Here is a 22501-nt window from a genome sequence, read left to right as displayed (position 1 = left end):
AAGAAAGAAAGAGAGAAAGAAACTTATCTCAGAACCTGACCTTCACATTAGTTTTGCTCTGAGAAGCAAAACTAGAATCTTTTTTTTTTTTTTGAGATGGAGTTTCGCTCTCGTTGCCCAGGCTGGAGTGCAACGTCACGATCTCAGCTCACCGCAACCTCTGCCTCCGGTTTCAAGCGATTCTCCTGCCTCAGCCTCCTGAGTAGCTGGGATTACAGGCATGCACGACCATGCCTGGCTAATTTTTTGTATTTTTAGTAGAGACGGGGTTTCTCCATGTTGGTCAGGCTGATCTCGAACTCGTGAACTCAGGTGATCCGCCCGCCTTGGCCTCCCAAAGTGCTGGGATTACAGGCGTGAGCCACCACGACAAAACTAGAATCTTAAAATTTAACAGCTTTTGAAAACTTTTTTTTGAGACACGGTCTCGCTCTGTCGGCCAGGCTGGAGTGCAGTGGTGTGATCTCAGCTCATTGCAACCTCTGCCTCCTGGGTTCAAGCGAATGTCCCGCCTCAGCTTCCTGAGTAGCTGGGATTACAGATGCCTGCCCACCACGCCCAGCTAATTTTTGTATTTTCAGTAGAGACGGGGTTTCACTATGTTGCCCAGCTGGTCTCAAACTCCTGACTTCAGGTGATCTGTCCGCCTCAGCCTCCCAAAGTGCTGGGATTACAGGCGTGAGCACTGCACTCGGCATGGCTTTTGAAACCTCATGCTGGACAAGGCAGTGTGAGGGATGGAGACCAGCTACTCTGAGCATCTCTACAACCCACGGTCACAGACAAGGTTATACACAGACAATCTGTGGACTCCCATTCAGACCCCAATTCTAAGGGTTACGTGTGCACTCTGGCTTTAAATACTCTCCCTCAAGGGTAAACTAGCTTCAGGAACACCACCCCCGGCCAAGAGTCTAAGAAGGAATGAAGCAGCTGTGAGAATGCAGCTCACTGTGGACCTTACCTTTGCTCCCCCAGGATTGCCCGGGCACCAAAATACCTTTTCAGTTCTGTGTCTGGATTCAAGTGTCTGGGGAATTGAAAATTGTAGAAAAAAAACATGAAATTATGTTCTAAGACGATTCCAAAAGCTTCAGAAAGCCACCTAATAGTCAAGGAGAGAACACGGATTTTTGGTTTGAAAGGCAGCTTCCAGGCCTTTCTCTAAAATCACCACCCCAACCACAGCTGAGGCCTCGCCACTGCGGGCACCATGGGGAAGCTGCCGTCACTGTGCCGTGAGGGCGCTCGGTGAGTGCTGTGTCAAGAGGCACTGTGTGTGGCACACGTCTGTTTCTGAGGCTGAGTCGGGGCAGTGCACGCACCCTGGGACTACACTACTGCGTCTTAACTGACTCCACGGAGCTTTTTTTTTTTTAAGCTGGCAATAATTTCTGAAGTAGGGACAGCGATTCATTAAGCATCTGTAAGACCAAGAGATGAATTAATCATCCAAGGATGACAGGGTAAGGAGGAACTTTTTGACCAGACGTGGTGGTTCACACCTGTAATTCCAGCATTTTGGGAGACTGAGGCAAGAGAATCTCCTGAGCCCAGGAGGTCGAGGCTGCAGTGGGCTATGATCACACCACTGAACTCCAGCCTGGGTGATAGAGAGATCCTGTCTCTTAAAAAAAAGAAAAAGAAGGAACTCTCTAATATACATAAGAAGTAAAACTAGAAGTTCTCTGAAATATGGATGACTTCCTTTCCTCCTTGTTCCTATTTCCTTTTGTCGGGAGACAGAGTCTCGCTGTATCACCCAGGCTGGAGTGCAGTGGCGCGATCTCGATCTCGGCTCACTGCAACCTCTGCCTCCCGGGTTCAAGCGATTCTCCTGCCTCAGCCTCCTGAGTGGCTGGGATTACAGGCACCCACCACCACATCCAGCTAATTTTTGTATTTTTTTTTTCTTTTTTTTGAGACGGAGTTTTGCTCGTTGCCCAGGCTGGAGTGCAGTGGCACAATCTCAGCTCACCGCAACCTCCGCCTCCCAGGTTCAAGCAATTTTCTGGCCTCAGCCCCCTGAGTAGCTGGGATTACAGGCATGCGCCACCACGCCTGGCTAATTTTGTACTTTTACTAGAGATGGGGTTTCTCCATCTTGGTCAGGCTGGTCTCAAACTCCTGACCTCAGGTGATCTGCCCACCTCAGCCTCCCAAAGTGCTGGGATTACAGGCGTGAGCCACCGGGCCCGGCCTATTTCCTAAATGAGTAATAACAAACTCATATTATTATTATTATTATTTTTTTGAGACACAGTCTCGCAGTGTTGCCCAGGCTGGAGTGCAGTGGCACAATCTCGACTCACTGCAAGCTCCACCTATTGGGTTCACGCCATTCTCCTGCCTCAGCCTCCCGAGTAGCTGGGACTATAAGGCGCCCGCTACCACGCCCAGCTAATTTTTTGTATTTTTAGTAGAGAGGGGGTTTCACCATGTTAGCCAGGATGGTCTCGATCTCCTGACCTCATGATCCGCCTGCCTTGGCCTCCCAAAGTGCTGGGATTACAGGCGTGAGCCACCACGCCCAGCCAATAAACTCATATGATTTTTAAATAAAGACAGTACATTTTATTTTTCCTTTTTTAGAGAACCTTTTCCTCCCACGAAGTCTCTGTGGCAGCCACAGAGAAGGGCAGCCGCAGAGAAGGGCAGCCGCAGAGAAGGGCAGCCGCAGAGAAGGGCAGCCGCAGAGAAGGGCGGGGGCCACACCTGTGCTCCACGTAGAGAACGTGCTTCCTGGAGCTCAGGGGAGCTGGGCCGGGACGGTTCAACCCAGTGCTGTCCTCAATCCTCTCTAGGATGCGATCGATATCTTCTAGTCCGTTTTCCTAAAAGCCCCAAAACAACCTCTTAATCACCACACTGACATTATTTTAAATATTGTAACAATAACAAAATTATTTATCTTAAAAGAGACCTATTACACTGTATTTACTTCCTAAAGGACAGCATAAGTCAAACACTATGTACCATCCACACATTTAGAAAAAAGAAGAGATGTTTCCTAAGAAGCGCTCAGCATAGACAGAATCACAGAACCAGAAGGACCCTAGAAAAAACTGGGCATTCCACATCACACTGGTGTGCTCACCTCCTCAGGCAAACAGGGTTGGGACTTGTGGCTCCAACTAAACGGCAACAAAGCTACACCCTTGTCTCAGGACACAGTCAGACGAGGACGAAGGGCAATGATGAAAACATATTTTTTTCTGATGACAGACTAGCTCCAGTGGAGGGTTCTGTACCCACCATGCAATTAACCCATAAGCATGGGACAGATGTCAGGGCAAACAGCAAGTGTCCCACGGGTCACAGGAGCACCAGAACTAGAAGGGATGTCCCCATCAGATCACACATTCCCACAGAGACACAGAGCAGAGCGCCAACCAGTCGAGGAACAAGGGTAAAAACAAGAAGCAGCATTTAGAAAGTAACTTTCCCTTTTCTTTTTCCCTGATCTCTTAGTTATACTCCTAATAGGAAGGAATAAAAATACTAAGTAAGCTTCTTTCAACACCACCTTGGAAAACAGCCAGAAGAGAATGGAGAGAGCGTCAGGCAGAGGGAGAGGGCGTCAGGCAGAGGGAGAGGGCGTCAGGCAGAGGGAGAGGGCGTCAGGCAGAGGGAGAGGGGCGTCAGGCAGAGGGAGAGGGCGTCAGGCAGAGGGAGAGGGCGTCAGGCAGACGGAGAGGGCGTCAGACAGAGGGAGAGGGGCGTCAGGCAGAGGGAGAGGGCGTCAGGCAGAGGGAGAGGGCGTCAGGCAGAGGGAGAGGGGCGTCAGGCAGAGGGAGAGGGGCGTCAGGCAGAGGGAGAGGGCGTCAGGCAGACGGAGGGCGTCAGACAGAGGGAGAGGGCGTCAGGCAGAGGGAGAGGGCGTCAGGCAGAGGGAGAGGGCGTCAGGCAGAGGGAGAGGGCGTCAGACAGAGGGAGAGGGCGTCAGGCAGAGGGAGAGGGCGTCAGGCAGAGGGAGAGGGGCGTCAGGCAGAGGGACAGAGCACAGCCAGGCCCAACTCACGTACCGATGCTTCTCCCGTGCTGCTTTTCTTGTTTTTCTGTTTTTTTTTCTTCTTCCGGAGTTTGCCACTTGCATGAGACTAATGATAGAAACACATTTTCATCAGTAGAATGAGAAGTAAATCTTAAGAAGTGAGAATTAAAGCAGCAAGCGTGACTCCACCCTCACCTAAGCAGCCCCTACCTCTCCCTCCGTGTCCCAAAAGTTCCTTCAACTCACTCTCTTCTCTCCAGCAGGCACCTTCCCACCTCTCCGAGCCCCTCGGGCTGTGCTACAGCAGTCCCCAGGGCCTTCTGTGTCCAGCCTCACAGGCTCACAGGACCCTGACCAGGTCCAGCTCTCATTCCTCCCTGTGTCGGCCACTCCCTGCCACACTGCAGCCACCCTGAAGACGGGGGCCTTGCTGTGCCCTGGCCGCCTCACACCGCACCTGTATGTGTGGTCCCCTACGCCTGCACCTGGCCAACCCCTTCTGACAGTAGGAAGGCTCCTCAGGAAGCCCCCAGGACCCTGAGCCTCAAGTCAGGACCCACCTGTCACTTCACATGTATGTTGCCCTCCCAACCAGAGGCTCCTGGGGGGCAAAGGCACGTTCCCAGCACCCAGCAAGCTCCCAAGAACACTTGTTGGATAAATGAACACAAGCTCTCCTTTTAGGGCCCCTCTTCTGTGCTGTGGAGCACAGCAGCAGGCTGTCTGCATCTCTGCCCATCCCACGTTAACCTGACCTGCATGTTTCTTCAAAGTTCACTTACACCAGCACCCAGATCCACAACCCAGCCAAGCAAACGTTCGGGGCACAGTTAGGAAGGACACACGTGCGCGGTCGGCTAGGAGGCACACACGTGCGCGGTCGGCTAGGAGGGACACACGTGCGCGGTTGGCTAGGAGGGACACACGTGTGCGGTTACATACACTGCTGGGCAGGCGCAGACTCTCCTGAGATGCAGGAGAAAGGCCTGCGACCTTCACTCATTTCATGCAAATCTCATCAAGGTTCCCAAGTAAATTTGGGGGCAACTAGCAGGTAACCAAAATGGAACTCGGAAAATTACACCTCCAAGGAAAATCACAGCACAGGATACACGTGGCTGGGTGCCTTGGAACTCTCCCGTCTGATGCCACCTCCTCACCACTCAGCCCCCCACCTGCTCTGAGGGCACTGTCTCGGTGTCATCTCCATCCGTCTTGCTCTCTGTGTTTCCACGCTGACCCCTTCCTTTGTTCCCTGGTGCCACAGCGTCTGTGAGCGCACAGCCAGACCTCTCCCCGTTCACCACAGGGTCATCCTCAAGATCGTCAATGTTTATCTGGAAAAACAGGTTGGAGAAGAGCCAGGGCGTTACTTACAGTGTGAACGCTCATGCTGAGATATGAATAGTGAGATGTGAACGGGCTTGCGTTGGGGACCCCCAGGGTCAGTGCGAGACGCTGGACGGGAAAGATGCAAGAACCCGAGACTGTTGGACACAGCAGTGACTCAGCTCTGGCTCAGGGGGACTTTGTCAGCAGCTCTACAGAAAGCCGGGGCCCCGAGGCTATGGGGTATCTCTGCCTTCAGAGATGAGGTAAGGAAGACTCCTCAAATATTGTAATTTACTCCATTTACAGAGGACCATCTGCAGGACAAAACGTTAAATATATATATTCAGCCAATGCATTAAAGTTCCTTCTTCCTCCTTTCTCCTCAAGCCTCAGCTCCTCTCCAGCAGCAGGCAGGAAAAAAAGGCACCAAGGACCCATCAACCTACAAACTTTTCCTAATGAAAATGATAGGCCAGGCGAGGTGCTCGCGCCTGTGATCCCAGCACTTTGGGAGGTTGATGCAGGCGGATCACTTGAGGTCAGGAGTTCAAGACCAGCCTGGCCAACATGGCGAAACCCTGTCTCTACTAAAAACACAAAAATTAGCCAGGCACAGTGGCAGGAGCCTGTAATCCCAGCTACTTGGGAGGCTGAAGTGGTATAATCGTTTGAACCCGGGAGGCAGAGGTTGCTGTGAGTCAAGATCGCACCACTACCCTCCAGCCTGGGCAACAGAGCAAGACTCCATCTCAAAATAGAAAAACAAAATGACATACGATAAAAATAATTCATACGATGAAACCTTCTCTCTCTCTTTTTGAGACAGAGTCTCGCTCTGTCATCCAGGCTGCAGTGCAGCAGTGTGATCTTGGCTCACTGCAGCCTTGGCCTCCTGGGTTCAAGCATCCTCCTGCCTCAGCCTCCCAAGTAGCTGGAACTACAGGCGTGAGCTACCATGCCTGGCTAATTTTTTAAATTTTTTTGTAGAGATGGGGGTCTCAACACATTGCCCAGGCTGGTCTTGAGCTCCTGACCTCAAGCGATCCTCCTGCCTCAGCCTCCCAAAGAGCTGGAGTTACAGGCGTGAGCCACCACGCCAAGTCTGGAACCTTTTTATAGCAGTGAGAATGAATGAATGAATGAACCACCACTGAACACACAATATGGATGAATCTTAGGAGTATAATATTAAATGGATAAAACCTCACAACATACATTCACATACAGATTGGAGGGGAGACAGGCAGTGGGAGAAGGGTAAGAACAGGAAAAGTTCTGGCTCCTCAGCTAGTGAGAGGCTGACCGGGCACGGTGGCGGTGCACCCCTGTAATCCCAGCACTTTGGGAGGCCGAGGTGGGTGGATCACGAGGTCAGCAATTCAAGACCAGCCTGACCAACATGGTGAAATCCCGTCTCTACTGAAAATAAAAAAATCGGCCAGGTGCAGTGGCGCGTGCCTGTAATCCCAGCTACTCGGGAGGCCGAGGCAGGAGAATTGCTTGAATCCGGGAGGCAGAGGTTGCAGCGAGCCAAGATTATGCCACTGCACTCCAGCCTGGGTGATAAGGCGAGATTCCATTTCAAGAAAACAAAAAAAAAAGAGGCTAACAGATTGGGTGTGGTGGCTCATGCCTATAATCCCAGCGCTTTGGGAGGCTGAGGCAGGAGGATCATCTGAGCCCAGGAGCTTGAAACCAGCCTAGGCAATACAGTGAGACCCCATCTCTACAAAAAATTAGCAGGGTGTGGTGGCACACACCTCTTGAGTCCCAGCTACTCAGGCGGCTGAGGAGGACTGCGTGAGCCCAGCAGTCCTGGAATCTGGAACCTGGAGTGAGCCATGATCACACAACGGCACTCCAGCGTGGGCAACAGAGCAAGACTCTAGCTCTAAATTTTTTAAAAAAAAAGCTAACAGAGACCAGCATCAACAATTCTTTATGAACTAGGAGATTCTGATGGATCCAATCGGATGCACTAAGGTTCAAAAATAAATAAAACTGCCTGTTTAATTTAAAACATCTTGAAAACCACAAACCTCAGAAAACACAATCAGCTCCAAGCCCCATAGCCCTGAGATAGTTTCTGAAACAGAATTGAGACTCGGCTGCACCTGGGAAGACAGACACCCCGGCTGCGGTTGCTGAAGAGAAGAAAGCACAGGGCAGGTCTGTGCTTGCCGGTCAGTCGGCTTTCTCTCCAATGGAGGCTCCCACATGACAAGGATACGATTCAGGAGCATCTTAAACGCCCGCTGAGACAAGTCAGGAGCAACTTACGCCCGTTGAGAAAATCCATGGCAGTATAGACGTGTTATGTAAACAGAGCCCCTAACTTGAAAACACTGACACTCCACCAAAACGAGGTTTGTCCCATCCCAGCAGCACCATGATGGTGATTCTCATGGTGATGCCTCCTTCTGCCTGGCCTTTGCTGGCGAAGCTGGGGCCTAGGCATGGGCCGGCTGCCTTGCACCCTGCAGTAAAGGAAGAAAGCTGAAACAAAGCCTATTGTTGAAATGTTTCTAACCTGTGGGTGGTCACTGGTAAATTGGATCTACACCATCTCCAACATTCAACTAATGATGATGTCTCTTAGTGAAGCTGGGTGCTGGTTTACTTGTCTGTTTTTAGAGATAGGGTCTCACTGTGTTGCCCAGGCTGGCCTCAAATTCCTGTGGTCAAGGGATCCTCCTGCCTCAGCCTCCCCAGGAGCTGGGACTACAGGCACACGCCACAACACCCAATTTACTTTTTTTTTTTTCTTTTTTTGAGATGGAGTCTTGCTCTGTTGCCCAGGCTGGAGAGCAATCGCATGATCTTGGCTCACTGCAACCTCCGCCTCCCGGATTCAAGTGATTCTCCTGCCTCAGCCTCCCGAGTAACTGGGACTACAGGCATGTGCCGCCATGCCAGGCTAATTTTTGTATTTTTAGTACAGATGGGGTTTCATCATGTTGGCCAGGCTGGTCTCGAACTCCTGACCTCAGGTGATCTGCCCGCCTCAGACTCCCAAAGTGCTGGGATTACAGGCGTGAGCCACCGCGCCCGGCCAACACCCAATTTACTTTTATTAACTCATGCTGACTTCCTAAGAAAAAAAATTCTTATTTTGAGGTGTTTGACAAATCGAATTCATAAAAAGCTCTATGCCAAGCTGAACTTCAATGGAAAGGAGCCTGTGTACACGGACAGCACGCGTGATGGGCTCAGGAGCCTGCCTGTGTACACAGACAGCACACATGATAGGCCCGGGAGCCTGTCTGTGTACATGGACAACACGTGTGACAGGCTCTGAAGCCCATCTGTGTACACGGACAGCACGTGTGATGGGCTCAGGAGCCTGCCTGTGTACATGGACAGCACGCGTGATAGTCCTGGGATCCTGACTGTTTACAAAGACAGCACACATGATAGGCCCAGGAGCCTGTCTGTGTACACGGACAACACGTGTGACAGGCTCCGAAGCCCATCTGTGCACACGGACAACACGTGTGACAGGCCCCGAAGCCCATCTGTGCACACGGACAACACGTGTGACAGGCCCCGAAGCCCATCTGTGCACACGGACAACACGTGTGACAGGCCCCGAAGCCCATCTGTGCACACGGACAACACGTGTGACAGGCCCCGAAGCCCATCTGTGCACACGGACAACACGTGTGACAGGCCCCGAAGCCCATCTGTGCACACGGACAACACGTGTGACAGGCCCCGAAGCCCATCTGTGCACACGGACAACACGTGTGACAGGCCCCGAAGCCCATCTGTGCACACGGACAACACGTGTGACAGGCCCCGAAGCCCATCTGTGCACACGGACAACACGTGTGACAGGCCCCGAAGCCCATCTGTGCACACGGACAACACGTGTGACAGGCCCCGAAGCCCATCTGTGTACACGGACAACACGTGTGACAGGCCCCGAAGCCCATCTGTGTACACGGACAACACGTGTGACAGGCTCCGAAGCCCATCTGTGTACACGGACAGCACGTGTGACAGGCCCAGGAGCCCGTCTGTGTACACGAACAGCACGTGTGACAGGCTCTGAAGCCCGTCTGTGTACACGGACAACACGTGTGACAGGCCCCGAAGCCCATCTGTGCACACGGACAACACGTGTGACAGGCCCCGAAGCCCATCTGTGTACACGGACAGCACGGGTGATAGGCCCAGGAGCCCGTCTGTGTACACGAACAGCACGTATGACAGGCCCCGAAGCCCATCTGTGTACACGGACAACACGTGTGACAGGCTCTGAAGCCCATCTGTGTACACAGACAGCACGGGTGACAGGCCTAGTTTTGCTTCTTCAGTGAAGTTTTGGTGATGACACATGATTTGCTGCAATCTCTACTGCCATGCATCAGCTCTAAAATGCTGTCAATCACCGTCAGACAAACCTTATTACTGGCTGGGCGCGGTGGCTCACGCCTGTAATCCCAGCACTTTGGGAGGCAGAGGTGGGCAGATGGCGAGGTCAGGAGATCAAGACCATCCTCGCTAACACGGTGAAACCCCGTCTCTACTAAAAATACAAAAAAACTTGCCGGGCGTGGTGGTGGGCGCCTGTAGTCCCAGCTACTCAGGAGGCTGAGGCTGGACAATGGAGTGAATCCAGGAGGCAGAGCTTGCAGTGAGCTGAGATGGTGCCACTGCACTCCAGCCTGGGCGACAGCGCAAGACTCCGTCTCAAAAAACAAAACAAAACACCTTATTACCTACCCAAAAGCTGTGATTTTCATTAGTTTTAGGGTCTCAAATGGGGAACATTTCACAAGGTTCTTGTCCACGACTGATCTTCTTTAGGATAAAGCTCGATCAGCATTTCAGTTAATAACCAGGAAGGAGTTTTATCTTTTTTTAGGGGGAGAGGAAAATGTCCATTTTTCCTAAAAAAAAAAAAAAAAAAAAAAAATGGTGATTTTTAATAGAGACGGAGTTTCACCATGTCGGCCAGGCTGGTCTCGAACTCCTGACCTCAGGTGGTCCACCCGCCTTGGCCTCCCACAGTGCTGGGATTACCGGCATGAGCCACCGCACCCAGCCTGAGGTTGTCTTTTTTTTTTTTTTGAGACAGGGTCTCACTTTGTCACCCAGGCTGGAGTACGGTGGCGTCATCTCACCTCACTGCAGCCTCGACCTCCTGGGTTCAAGCCATCCTCCCGTCTCAGCCTCCCGAGTAGCTGTGACCACAGGTGAGTGCCACTATACTTGGACAGTTTTTTTGTATTGTTTGTAGAGATGGGGTTTTGCCACATTGCCCAGGCTGGTCTCACACACCTGAGCTCAAGTGATGGATCTGCCTTGACCTCCCAAAGTGATGGGATTACAGGTGTCAGCCACCAACCCTAGCCTGGAATGTTTTATACTTTAAAAAATTCAGTATCTTTAATAGATAAAAGGGCTCAGATTTTTTTATTTCTTCACATGTCAATTTAGATAAGTTTTATCTTTAAAGGAACTTGCCCATTTGTCTAATCTGGAAAATTTATTAGCAAGAAGTTCCTTATCGCCCGTTACTATCTGCACCATCTGTACCTGTGAACACTCCTCTCCCATCCCTGAAAATGGTAACGTACCTGGACCTTCCCTTTTTCCCTCCATCAGTCAATCTAGAGTTTTTGCCAACTCGTCTTTTGAGAGAACCAAGTTTCGGTCTCACCGATTCTCTCCATCGTGTCCATACTCTATTCTGTGCATTCCCCTCTTTGATTAGTTTCTTCCTTCGACACATTTTGAGTTTAATTTGCTCTTTTTCTAGTTTAAGGTAGAAGTTTCAGGTAAATTTCTAGATTTTTAAACACTTTTCTAATTTAAAATTTACGATGATAAAGTTCTAATCATCGTTTCAGTTGCATCCCACAAATTTTGATAGGTTGCTATTTTCATTACCAATCAGTTCAGAAAAGATTCTAGGCCAGGCATGGTAGCTCACATCTATAATCCCAGCACACTGGCTTTCAAAAAAAATTGAAAAAATTAGCCAGGTGTGGTGACACCCACTTATAGTTCCACCTACTTGGGAGGCTGAGGTGGGAGGATGGTTTGAGCCCAGGAGTTCAAGATTACAGTGAGTTATAATTGTGACATTGAACTCCAGCCTGGGCAATAGAGCGAGACTCTGTCTCCAAAAAACCAAAACACACACACACCCACACACAGCAAAAACTGACAGGGTTGAAAGTAGAAATAGACAAATCCATAATTATTATTACGATTTATTTATTTATTTATTTATTTATTTTTTTGAGACAGAGTCTCGCTGTATTGCCCGGGCTGGAGCCTGGTGGCACAATCTCAGTTCATTGCAACCTCCACCTCCTGGGTTCAAGCAATTCTCCTGCCTCAGCCTCCCAAGTAGCTGGGATTACAGGCACCCACCACCATGCCTGGCCAATTTTTTTTTTTTTTTTTTTTTTTTTAGATGGAGTCTCGCTCTGTTGCCCAGGCTGGAGTGCAGTGGCACGATCTCAGCTCACTGCAAGCTCCGCCTCCTGGGTTCACGCCATTCTCCTGCCTCAGCCTCCTGAGTAGCTGGGACTATAGGCTCCCGCCGCCACACCCGGCTAATTTTTTTGTACTTCTTTAGTAGAGGCGGGGTTTCACCGTGTTAGCCAGGATGGTCTGGATCTCCTGACCTCATGATCCGCCCACGTCGGCCTCCCAAAGTGCTGGGAATACAGGCATGTGCCACCACGCCTGGCCCAATTTTTGTATTCTTAGTAGAGATGGGGTTTCACCATGTTGGCCAGGCTGCTCTCGAACTCCTGACCTCAGGTGATCTGCCCACCTCCCAAAGTACTGGGAGCTGCAATTCCAGCACTTTGGGAGGCCAAGGCGGAAGGATCTCTTGAGCCCAGGAGTTTAAGACCAACCTAGGCAACATAAAGAGATCTTGTCTCTAAATAAATAAAATTTTTTAAAAAGAGAAACACCATGTCTCTCACCAATGCATTCACATTCATAACCATTTAGTCGTAACTGGCTGTTTACTGTCTCCCATACTTCTGTTTATTAAGAGCTATTTAACAGAATGCCAATAAACATTTTGATTATATTATTTCCAAATATGAGTTTTAAGAGCAAAAAAGTATGGAATGCTTAAATTAAGACTGATGTGTGCCACTGGATAAAATTCTCTGAAATTCCTAAGAACACAGCACGATAAGCAGTCATTCATCCATGGAGGCTGTTAGTGTTACTGACACTCAAACTCACTCCAGAAAGTCCACAAGGGTTTGTGTGGTTTCTGACCTTACAGACTCTTACTCTGTCAACTCATGAACCACACTTTTTCCAAATTCCCACCAACACAAATATAAATACCAAAAAGATTAAATATTTAAATGGGAAAAAAAAAGCATTAAAAGAACAAGCTGAGCATGGTAGGGTATGCTGTAGTCCCAGCTGCTCAGGAGGCTGAGGCAGGAGGATAACCTGAACCCAGGAGTTCAAGACCAGCAACCAGCCTGGGCAACACCGTGAGACCCTGTCTGTAACCAAAAAAAAAAAAAAAAAAAAAAAAAAAAGCCAGGCGCAGTGGCTCACGCCTGTAATCCCAGCACTTTGGGAGGCCGAGGCAGGCGGATCACGAGGTCAGGAGATCGAGACCATCCTGGCTAACATGGTGAAACCCCATCTCTACTAAAAATACAAAAAATTAGCCAGGCGTGGTGGCGGGCGCCTGTGTTCCCAGCTACTTGGGAGGCTGAGGCAGGAGAATGGCGTGAACCCAGGAGGCGGAGCTTGCAGTGAGCCGAGATCATGCCACTGCACTCCAGCCTGGGCGACAGAGCGAGACTCCATCTCAAAAAAAAAAAAAAAAAAAAAAAAAAACTCACGTCAGGGAATATCTATGTGAAGACACTCTAGAGAGATGGATGTGTAACAATGAGAAAAGTGGCTCCAGTATCTTTCAGCACGCAGAAATTAAAGAAGTTAAAGAACAAACACAAACCGAGAAAATACGTTAGAGACAATCGATAGCAAGCTTCCACGAGCAAAAAGACTGTCCAAACCCCCTATAAAAAGGCAAAGATATAAACAGGTTGTCACAAAGAGAAATATAAATGGTCAACGAATACATAGCTAGGTGCTGCATTTCACTACCAAAGAAGTGTAAAATAAAATAATGTGATATCATTTTTCACAAATTACATTGACAAAAATTTAAAAAGACTTACGGGGCCAAGCACAGTGGCTCATGCCTCTAATGCCAACACTCTGAGAGGCCAAGGTGAGAGGACTATTTGAGCCCAGGAGTTCAAGGTTGCAGTGAGCTAGGATTGTGCCAATGCACTCCAGCCTGGGCAACAGAGCAAGATTCCATCTCAAAACAAAAAGCTTTCAGTAACTGCTGTGAATCTAGCAAATTACTGAACCTTGACGGGGGTCTTGGGGACCACTAAAGGTGGACTTGATGCGAGAAGGGCAGTCAACCAAGCATGGTGACTCACGCCTGTAGTCCCAGCACTTTGTGAGGCTGAGGTGGACAGATTGTTTGAGCGCAGAAGTTCTAGACCAGCCTGGGCAACAAGGCGAAAACTCTTCTCTACAAAAAAGAAAAAAAAAAAAAATTAGCCGGGCGTGGTGACATCCACCTGTAGTCCTAGATACTCAGGAGGCTGAGGTGGGAGGATCGCAGAGCCCGCAGAGGCAGAGTTACAGACGGAGGCCAGGGCTTAGGAGAAAACGTCACAGGACCGCATGAGCAAACCATACAGTCAAACTGTTACTTCCCTGTGCCAGAAACGAGCTGCCGGAGATGCAGCAAAGAGTAAGACTAATCCGCTGGGTTAGGCTGATGGGGATGCGCGAAGAGCAAGGCCCTGGGTTAGGCAGAGTTGTTGTGAGGATTAAAGCAGAATGCTCGCAGAGGCCTGGCAAGTCCTCAACCCTGGAACCGAGAGAAGGCCCCTCTAGACTCGAGAAAGGGAAGCCCCACCCGACTCCTGCCCCTACGCCGTGGCCCCACCCCCACGGTGGCCCCAGGCCTCATTTAACCCCGCCCACGCCATCGCCTCGCCACCCCCCCGTCTTTAGCCACGCCCTTTAGCGTCACGGCCCCACGACAGCCACGTGGCCGCAGGCCCATTTAATCCCGCCCACGTCGTGGCCCGGCCCCGCGGACGTTGGCCACGCCCTTGGCATCAAGGCCCCGCACCCTCCACAACCCGGACCCCGCTTAACCCCGCCCATTCGGTCGCCCCGCCCCGACAGCACGGCCCCGCCCCATCCCTTAGCCCCGCCCACCTCACCGGGGTTAGAACCCAGTCTAACTCCGCGGCCCGCCGTCTTCACCCCACGCCACCGCCCACCCGCGTCGCCCTGGCCCCGACGCACGGCCCCGCCCTCCCCACTGCGGCTGGGACCCACGTCACCCTTCCCACCCCTGGCATCACAACCCCGCTCCCCGACCCGGCTGGACGCTCGCCCCGCCCCACAACGTCAAGGGCCACCCCACCCCCACCCGGGCCGCCGCGCTCCTCACCAGCTCGAAGCGGTTGTTGACTCGGACGCCCTCCTTCCCTGCGCCCCCGGGACGCCGGACACCAAGCTCCCGCTTGGGCCCTTCTTCTTCCGCGTCATCGTCATCACGGAGATCGAAATGCAAGGCGCCGGGCCCGAGGGGCTCCTGGCCGCGCTGTTCCCCCCTCAGCCTCCGGAGGGCCCGGCGCGACATAGGACCGAACGACCACGACGTCTGGAGAGAGGGAGAAGGAAGCGCAGAAAACTCGGCTGTCGGCGCGCCTGCGCACTCTTCGCGCGGGGTCGGGGGCGGGGGAGCTGGCTGCGCGCCTGCGCACTCTTGGCGCGAGGGGTGGGGGCAGGACCTGGCTGCGGCGCCTGCGCGTCGCGGCTCTCCGGAACTTTCCCGCTTCAGCGGCGGCGTCTGGGCGGGCTCCGGGGGGTCCGGGCCAGGTCTCTGGAGAGCTGGGTGTCTGCGCGCCGTGCGCACCGGGCATGGAGAGGTGCCCCGCGGGGATGACGGGCTTCGATTCGGGGTAACGGGCGCGCAGCCGGCGACAGTCGGCCCTGCCCGGCCTTGCCCATCCATGTGGCCCGGAACCCGCAGCCGCGTTCTGCCCGCCGGGGCCTGTCCCCGCACCGTGCCTGCAGCATTTCAGCTGCGTCCCGGACGTTGCTAGTTGGTCCTTTTCGTGTCAGGGTGTCATTCGAGTGATCTAGCCGTCGATGCCCGCCTCTGCCCTGGAGCCGCCGCCCCTCGAGCAGCATTGAGTGACGCGGCCCTTACTGCCCGCCCGAGGCCTCTTTAGGGACAGTGGTTCTGACAGTTCTAGGACAGGCCGCCCGCGTTTGTCACGATCTAAGGGCCGGGCGCGGTGCTCACGCTTGTAATCCCAGCACTTTGGGAGGCCAAGGTGGGCGAATCACCTGAGGTCGGGAATTCGAGACCAGGTTGGGCAACACGGTGAAACTCCCTCTACTAAAAATACAAAAATTAGCTGGGCGTGGCTGCGCACGCCTGTAATCCCAGCTACTCGGGAGGCTGAGGCTGCAGTGAGCCGAGATCGCGCCACTGCACTCCAGCCTGGGCGACAGAGCCAGACCCTGTCTCAAAAAAATGAAAAAAATAAAGTAGATGAGGCTGAGACAGTGCTGGGTTCAGTGGGCGGAGGGCACAGCTTCCTGTGCCTGGGGTTGGGGACATGGGGACAGGAGGGCATAGAGAAGACAGGTGCCAGCAGCCTCCTGCCCGACTTACTGCGGCTTCATGAGCACAAGCAGCAGCCCTGGTGAGCCGGCCTGGCCCCTCCCAGGATGGGTTAGGGTTTTATTTTATTTTGTGAGATGAGGTCTTGCTCTGTTGCCCAGGCTGGAGTGCAGTGGCGCAATCTCGGCTCACTGCAACCTCCATCTCCCAGGCTCAAGCACTTCTCCTGTCTCAGCCTCCCGAGTAGCTGGGACTACAGGCATGTGCCACCATGCCCGGCTAATTTTTGTACTCAGTAGAGATGGGGTTTCACCATGTTGGCCAGGCTGGTCTCGAACTCCTGACCTCAAGTGATCTGCCCACCTCACCCTCCAAAAGTGCTGGGATTACAGGTGTGAGCCACTGCACCTGCCGTGGTTTAGGGTTTTAACGTGGGCTTTCATTTCCAAGTGTTCCTGTATGAATTACAACCCAGTCTCCCCATGATAGGGAGTGTGAGTCCCCGTAGAACCAGAACAACCGTCGTCCTTACCAAGCACTACACATTAGCTTATTGCTGGCTGTGTGACCGGAGGAGTTCCCTGACCCTCTCTGTGCCTGTTTTCTTATTTTTAAACAGGAATAAAAATACAGGCCAGAGAGTCCGTGAAATGCTTACACGCATGCTAGAAGCTGGCTGTTTTTACTGGGGGCTCTAATTTTGTGTGTTTGGATTTCCTGGACCCCAGCTGACAGGAGTATTTTCTCCCGCAGGCCCATCAGTTACAAGTCCTGTCCCTTCTGACCTCCAGGCCCCACGGCTAGCATTACAGCCTGGAGTCAAAGTTCTGGGTGAGCTGTGTATCTTTGGCCAAATTCTTTGACCTCGTTGAGCCTCAGTTCCCTCATCTGTAAGGTAAGATGACGGCAGAACGTCACGGAGGAGCAGGGCAGGGCCCCGTTAACAGGCTGAGCCGGGCGCAGGTGAGCAGACAGCACTCGGCACAGGGCCTGTCTAGAGCCTGCAGTCACACCTCCTGCCCCTGTGGATCCTCTCCCTGGAGAACGAGAATACGGATCTGGGAAATGAGACCAAAGTACCCCCCAGGCCAGCAGGTGTGGCCAGAGGAGCTGATGGGCAGTAGTCTGTGCCGTCCGCATGCAGCCCTGACCATGGTGGCCAGGACCACGAAGCTGGTAGAGGCAGCCAGGGCTGCGTGGACAGAGCAGGCCTGGAGCCCTTGCCTGGTGGGCACCTGACTCTAAGCCAGGAGGCCTTTCCTCGTCCTGGAAGGCAGGTGGCCCCTCAAGCCCAGCTTCAACCTTGGGAGAACATGCCATGCTGGGTGAATCCTCAGCGCACATCCCAGACAGAAGACTGTGAGACCTCCTTTATTAGGCCAAGAGTGGCCATGTGCACAGATTTACAGAGCTGCTCCTCCCTGTGCCAGGACCGCCCAGCATCTTCAGGAGCCTCTGGGCCAGGGGCGAGTGAGGACAGCACCAGAATGTGGTAGGGCCAGGAGAGGCAGGACACATGTGGTTTGGACCCCAGGGAAAGGGAAAGGGCAAGGGCAGGGAGCAGCTTGGCACGGACCTTTTTTTTTTTCGAGACAGAGTCTCGCTCTGTCGCCCAGGCTGGAGTGCAGTGGTGCAATCTCGGCTCACTGCAACCTACACCTCCCGGGTTCAAGCGATTCTCCTGCCTCAGCCTCCCCTGTAGCTGGGATTACAGGTTCCTGCCACTATACCTGGCTAATTTTTGCATTTTCAGTAGAGACAACATTTCATCATGTTGGCCAGGCTGGTCTCAAACTCCTGACCTCAGGTGATCCTCCCTCCTCGGCCTCCCAAAGTGCTGGAATTACAGGCCTGAACCACCACGCCTGGCCAGACCTTTCAAACAGGTGGGGGTGCCTCCCAGGAGGACCCTGCCTACTCAGAGACTTCCCAGATGCCTCTGCTGCCTGAGTCCCCACAAAGGGAGAGCAGAGGCAAGCAGGGCACTCTGGTCCAGCTGGGAGCCAAGATACCCTGTCCCCACCTAGACGTCCACTGGGGAAGGGAAACTGCCGTTCGCATTCCTGGGGACGGAGAAGAGCATGGGAACATGGGATGCAGTCTGTGCCAGGATCTAGAACCTTCTGCTTTCTCTCTTCAGTGAGAAAACCCACCCTGTTCCCTCCCCTTCCTCCCTGGCAAGGAATCCTGAGAAGAAACAGCCTCCCCCAGGGAGGGTTTTGAAGTGCGCCTGAACCCAAATGAGCTCTGGGGCCAGGAAACAGTGTATATAAATATATAGACTGTGTGTATATATTATAAATGTATCTATATATGTATATATGTACATGCACAGCTCAGAGCGTCCTAGCCTGATACAGGGCCTGCCTGGTGCCTCCTGGAGGCCTGGCCACCTGGGGCTGTCACTTGAAGTCAAGAGTCCTGGTGTTAGGGATGTAGAGGGATTGGGTCTGGCGACTGCGTCGTGGCGTAGTGTTGAGGACGTCCACGCTCTTGCGGCTGGAACGCACCACGTCTGCCACAAAGCTGGTGCACTCACTGCAGACATCCTTCAGGACACAGCCGTGGGAGTAGATGTGGGGGAACGCCTCCTCCACGCTCTGCCACTGTGGCCCTTGCAGAGACCTGGGAAGTGGGAGAGGGCACTCAGGGAGAGGAGCCAGCCAGGGTGCCACACCCCCCTCCCTGCTTGTGCATGCCACAGCCCCCTCCTGGCTGCCTTTCACCCTAGGCCTCCCCTTGGCCCTCAGGCAACAAACACAGCTAGCAGTGTTCATCTCAGCAGACTGTTCCCTGACCACCCAAGTCCAGTTTCCATCTCATACTGCTCAGCCTCCCAGAGCCCTACACAACGATCCGTCTCTGCCTTGCATTTCCATTTCCTTGGGGTGTCCTAGCAAACAGACAAAGCCAGCCCCCTCCACCCCAGCTCCCAAGTTCCTCTTCACGCCCGACCACCACAGTGACATCAGCAGCAAGGCGAAGAACGCACTGAAAGATGTCTCTTCTCTGGATTGGCGCGGTTTTGGCAGCTGATACCCTCTGAGGACTCTCAAAGCCCAGTGTGTAGACAGGGATGTGTCCAAATTTCTTAGAAGGCATCTTCATCTGCAGCACAGAGGGAGGAGGTATGAACCAGGCACCACCAGAGACATTCAGGTACACTCAGTGCTAGGGGACCTCCCTCCCCAGTCTGGGACCTGCGTGGCAGCCAGGGCTTCCTGGAGAATATTCTCTGTCCCTGTGCTCTCCGATGTCTCCTCTGTGCCTTTTGGCTGAAGACTGGCACGGGGTTCCTGCTTGCTGCACATCTGGACAGGGGCTTCTTAGAGCGCAAGAACCGTCCCTTTTTATACCATGCGGGACCTGCCACGTTTCCTGCTCATCTGGACAGGGGCTCCTTAGAGGGCAAGAACTTTCCCTTTTTATACTATACGGGACCTGCCACCTTACCCTGCACATAATCAACATTTAACATGGATGAGGTGGAAGTTTTTCCATTGCCAAGTGGCAGGATGTAGAGTAAGATTTAAAAATAGTGGTAGTAAGAGTACTCCTTAAGCAGAGTTTTGCTTCTGAACTGAGGCCTGAGGGGTAACATATATATATATATATATATATTTTTTTTTTTTTTTTTTTTTTTAAGACACAGATCTTGCTCTATTGCCCAGGCTGGAGTACAGAGGCACAGCCATACTCACTGCAGCCTTGAATTTGCTGGGCTCAAGAGATCCTCCCACCTCAGCCTCCCAAAGTGCAGGAACTGCAGGCATGAGCCACCGCGCCTGGCTGGTGACATACTTTTATTTGTATTTTGTCTTTTTGAGACGGAGTCTCTGTCACCCAGGCTGTAGTGCAGTGGCACAATCATAGCTCACTGTGGCCTCCACCTCCCGGGTTCAAGTAATTCTCATGCCTCAGCCTCCTGAGTAGCTAGGATTACAGGTGCGTGCCACCATGCCCAGCTAATTTTTTTGTATTTTTAGTAGAGATGGGGTTTCACCATGTTGGCCAGGCTGGTCTCAAGTGGTCCGCCAGCCTCACTGGCCTCCCAAAATGCTGGGATTACAGGTGTGAGCCACCGTGCCCAGCTGACATACTTTTAAATGTTAGGATCCCTTTACCTCTGTGCACCTGCACATAAGCACACACCTCAACTGCAATAAGAAGCCCCTCCTAAAACACCCAAAAAGTTATAGAATGTAAGAAGGTAGGACTTTTAGAGGGGAAGTGAAGGGTTTTTTGGCACGAGGCTACTAACGTGCAATGTTTAAAAACAAAAACCTGTAAGGGTCTTTAAAAACTGCACACTATCTTGGAAAGTATAGGAATGGATTCTGCCTGAAAGGAAATGGATGAGGTGCCTGGTGAGGCAGCATCATCCAACACATCCAATCAAAGCCAGTGGAGCCCCTCATCTGCCTTGCTCAGACCCCAGAGATCCCACATGGTCCTCACCTTTATGCTACAGGAAGTGCAGACGGCTCTGGAAGGGAACAGAGGAAATGCAGCATCAGCAGGGAGGAAGCCCACAAACAGCTGAGAAACAGTCGCATCCCGGCCTCCACGCATCCGAGGTCAAACCATCCTTGCCTTCTGCCTGATGCTTGGTTACTTCAGTACTTTATTTTACTCCAAAATCTTGCTTTTCTTTATACTTAGGTATCCACCCAAAATATATGTGCTCCTTGGCATTCTCTCAGGAAGGATGGCTCCAGGAGTTTTCTCCTGCCAAGTTTTCTATTGCCAAGTGGTAGGATATAGAGTAAGGTTTAAACATAGTGGTGGTGGGCCAGATGTGGTAGCTTACGCCTGTAATCCCAGCACTTTGGGAGGCCAAGGCAAGTGGATCACCTGAGGTCAGGGGTTTGAGACAAGCCTGACCAACAAGGTGAAACCTCGTTTCTACTAAAAATACAAAAATGAGTTGGGCGTGGCAGCAGGCACCTGTAATCACAGCTACTTGGGGGGCTGAGATAGGAGAATGGCATGAACCTGGGAAGTGGAGGTTGCAGTGAGCTGAGATCACGCCACTGCACTCCAGCCTGGGGGACTGAGCGAAACTCTGTCTCAAAAAAAAAAAAAAATGGTGGTAAAAGTCCCTCTTAAGCAGATTTTTGTTTCTGAACCAAGGCATGATGGGTCTTTCTGAACCAAGCCATGATGGGTCACATACTTTTGGAAAGTTTAAAAACAAAAACCTACAAGGGTCTTTAAAAACTGCACACTGTCGGCCAGGCGCGATGCCTCACGCCTGTAATCCCAGCACTTTGGGAGGCCAAGGCAGGTGGATCACGAGGTCAGGTGTTCAACATCGGCCTGGCCAAGATGGTGAAACCCCGTCTCTACTAAAAATACAAAAAATTAGCCGGGCATGGTGGCGGGCACCTGTAATCCCAGCTACTCGGGAGGCTGAGGCAGAGAATTGCTTGAACCCAGGAGGCGGAAGTTGCAGTGAGCCGAGATCATGGCACTGCACCGCAGCCTGGGTGACAGAGAGAGACTCTGTCTCAAAAAAAACAAAAAGCAAACAACAACAACAACAAAAAACAAAAAAAAAACTTGCACACTGTCTTGGAAAGACATCTAAGATTCCTTCTAAGAAGACGTGTAGACATTGGTGTGTACCTGACACTACTCACCATAAAAGCACCATGGAAGCTAGAGGGGCCTCAACTGAGATGCTCAGTTTTAAACAGTGATTCAATTTTGTTTTAATTCCCATATCTGATTTCAAAAATAAATACCTTCTTATAAAAAATTCAAGGCTGGGCGCGGTGGCTCAAGCCTGTAATCCCAGCACTTTGGGAGACCGAGATGGGCAGATCACGAGGTCAGGAGATCGAGACCATCCTGGCTAACATGGTGAAACCCCGTCTCTACTAGAAATGCAAACAAATTAGCCAGGCCTGGTGGCGGGCACCTGTAGTTCCAGCTACTCGGGAGGCTGAGGCAGGAGAATGGCGTGAACCCGGGAGGTGGAGCTTGCAGTGAGCCGAGATTGTGCCACTGCACTCCAGCCTGGGTGACAGAGTGAGATTCCATCTCAAAAAAGAAAAAAGAAAAAAAAAAAAATTCAAGGCTGGGCGTGGTGGCTCACCGCTGTAATCCCAGCACTTTGGGAGGCCAAGGTGGGCGATCACCTGAGGTCGGGAGTTGGAGATCAACCTGACCAACATGGAGAAACCCCATCTCTACTAAAAATACGAAATTAGCAAGTGTGGTGGCACATGCCTGTAATGCCAGCTACTCAGGAGGCTGAGGCAGGAGAATCACTTGAACCTGGGAGGCAGAGGTTGCAGTGAGCTGAGATCGCGGCATTGCACTTCCGACTGGGCAACAAGAGTGAAACTCTATCTCAAAAAAATAAAAAAAAAAAATTCAAACATGAGAGAATTAAAATGTAGACACCACATGCTCAGAAGTGATCCCTGCTAGTAATGGTTTCCATCCTCCAGGCTTTTCCAAGCATATATCAACAGAAATATACATAA

The 22501-nt window shown here is 52.0% G+C and overlaps 2 protein-coding genes and 1 long non-coding RNA gene across 3 annotated transcripts in view, besides 7 other annotated features; 1 reads left to right on the top strand and 2 right to left on the bottom strand.

Moving 5' to 3' along the window:
* The window catches only part of TCF25 (TCF25 ribosome quality control complex subunit), a 37788-nt gene extending 22698 nt beyond the window's left edge, over positions 1–15090 (bottom strand). The window contains exons 1-5 of the mRNA NM_014972.3: positions 14823–15090; positions 5170–5331; positions 4026–4100; positions 2716–2834; positions 965–1030 (exon numbers count right to left, since the gene is read on the bottom strand). Of these exons, the coding sequence (NP_055787.1) occupies positions 965–1030; positions 2716–2834; positions 4026–4100; positions 5170–5331; positions 14823–15014 (614 nt within the window). The 5' untranslated portion in view covers positions 15015–15090. The remainder of the gene's footprint in view (positions 1–964; positions 1031–2715; positions 2835–4025; positions 4101–5169; positions 5332–14822) is intronic.
* Positions 6021–6190: an enhancer, noted in NCBI's record as "experimental_46826 CRE fragment used in MPRA reporter constructs". NCBI's record gives its function as "activates a minimal promoter by MPRAs in K562 erythroleukemia cells, with activity observed for both the introgressed and non-introgressed 16:89948985 or rs34604714 variant alleles {active_cell/tissue: K562}" and the evidence as "EXISTENCE:reporter gene assay evidence [ECO:0000049][PMID:34662402]".
* Position 6105: a transcriptional cis regulatory region, noted in NCBI's record as "Neanderthal adaptively introgressed variant 16:89948985 (GRCh37/hg19 assembly coordinates) or rs34604714 in the experimental_46826 CRE". NCBI's record gives its function as "modulates activity of the experimental_46826 enhancer by MPRAs in K562 erythroleukemia cells {active_cell/tissue: K562}" and the evidence as "EXISTENCE:reporter gene assay evidence [ECO:0000049][PMID:34662402]".
* Positions 8508–9177: an enhancer, noted in NCBI's record as "H3K27ac-H3K4me1 hESC enhancer chr16:89945913-89946582 (GRCh37/hg19 assembly coordinates)". NCBI's record gives its function as "activates a minimal SCP1, AML or CMV promoter by ChIP-STARR-seq in naive H9 embryonic stem cells {active_cell/tissue: H9 hESC(naive)}" and the evidence as "EXISTENCE:reporter gene assay evidence [ECO:0000049][PMID:30033119]".
* Positions 14306–14775: a silencer, noted in NCBI's record as "silent region_7929". NCBI's record gives its function as "represses an Ori minimal core promoter by ATAC-STARR-seq in GM12878 lymphoblastoid cells {active_cell/tissue: GM12878}" and the evidence as "EXISTENCE:reporter gene assay evidence [ECO:0000049][PMID:35858748]".
* Positions 15194–18305, top strand: LOC112268179 (uncharacterized). The gene is made up of 2 exons (XR_002957933.2): positions 15194–15714; positions 16761–18305. It is a non-coding gene; the product is annotated as an uncharacterized LOC112268179 (long non-coding RNA).
* Positions 15246–15365: a silencer, noted in NCBI's record as "silent region_7928". NCBI's record gives its function as "represses an Ori minimal core promoter by ATAC-STARR-seq in GM12878 lymphoblastoid cells {active_cell/tissue: GM12878}" and the evidence as "EXISTENCE:reporter gene assay evidence [ECO:0000049][PMID:35858748]".
* Positions 15376–16332: an enhancer, noted in NCBI's record as "H3K27ac-H3K4me1 hESC enhancer chr16:89938758-89939714 (GRCh37/hg19 assembly coordinates)". NCBI's record gives its function as "activates a minimal SCP1, AML or CMV promoter by ChIP-STARR-seq in primed H9 embryonic stem cells {active_cell/tissue: H9 hESC(primed)}" and the evidence as "EXISTENCE:reporter gene assay evidence [ECO:0000049][PMID:30033119]".
* Positions 15446–15605: an enhancer, noted in NCBI's record as "active region_11426". NCBI's record gives its function as "activates an Ori minimal core promoter by ATAC-STARR-seq in GM12878 lymphoblastoid cells {active_cell/tissue: GM12878}" and the evidence as "EXISTENCE:reporter gene assay evidence [ECO:0000049][PMID:35858748]".
* The window catches only part of SPIRE2 (spire type actin nucleation factor 2), a 42845-nt gene continuing 37706 nt past the window's right edge, over positions 17363–22501 (bottom strand). Inside the window, exons 13-15 of the mRNA NM_032451.2 lie at positions 20466–20493; positions 19000–19115; positions 17363–18632 (exon numbers count right to left, since the gene is read on the bottom strand). Coding sequence (NP_115827.1) covers positions 18410–18632; positions 19000–19115; positions 20466–20493 — 367 coding nt within the window. The 3' untranslated portion in view covers positions 17363–18409. The remainder of the gene's footprint in view (positions 18633–18999; positions 19116–20465; positions 20494–22501) is intronic.

Source organism: Homo sapiens, chromosome 16, assembly GCF_000001405.40.
Source record: "Homo sapiens chromosome 16, GRCh38.p14 Primary Assembly".
Classification (NCBI taxonomy): domain Eukaryota; kingdom Metazoa; phylum Chordata; class Mammalia; order Primates; family Hominidae; genus Homo; species Homo sapiens.
This window is presented reverse-complemented; position numbering and strand designations above follow the sequence as displayed.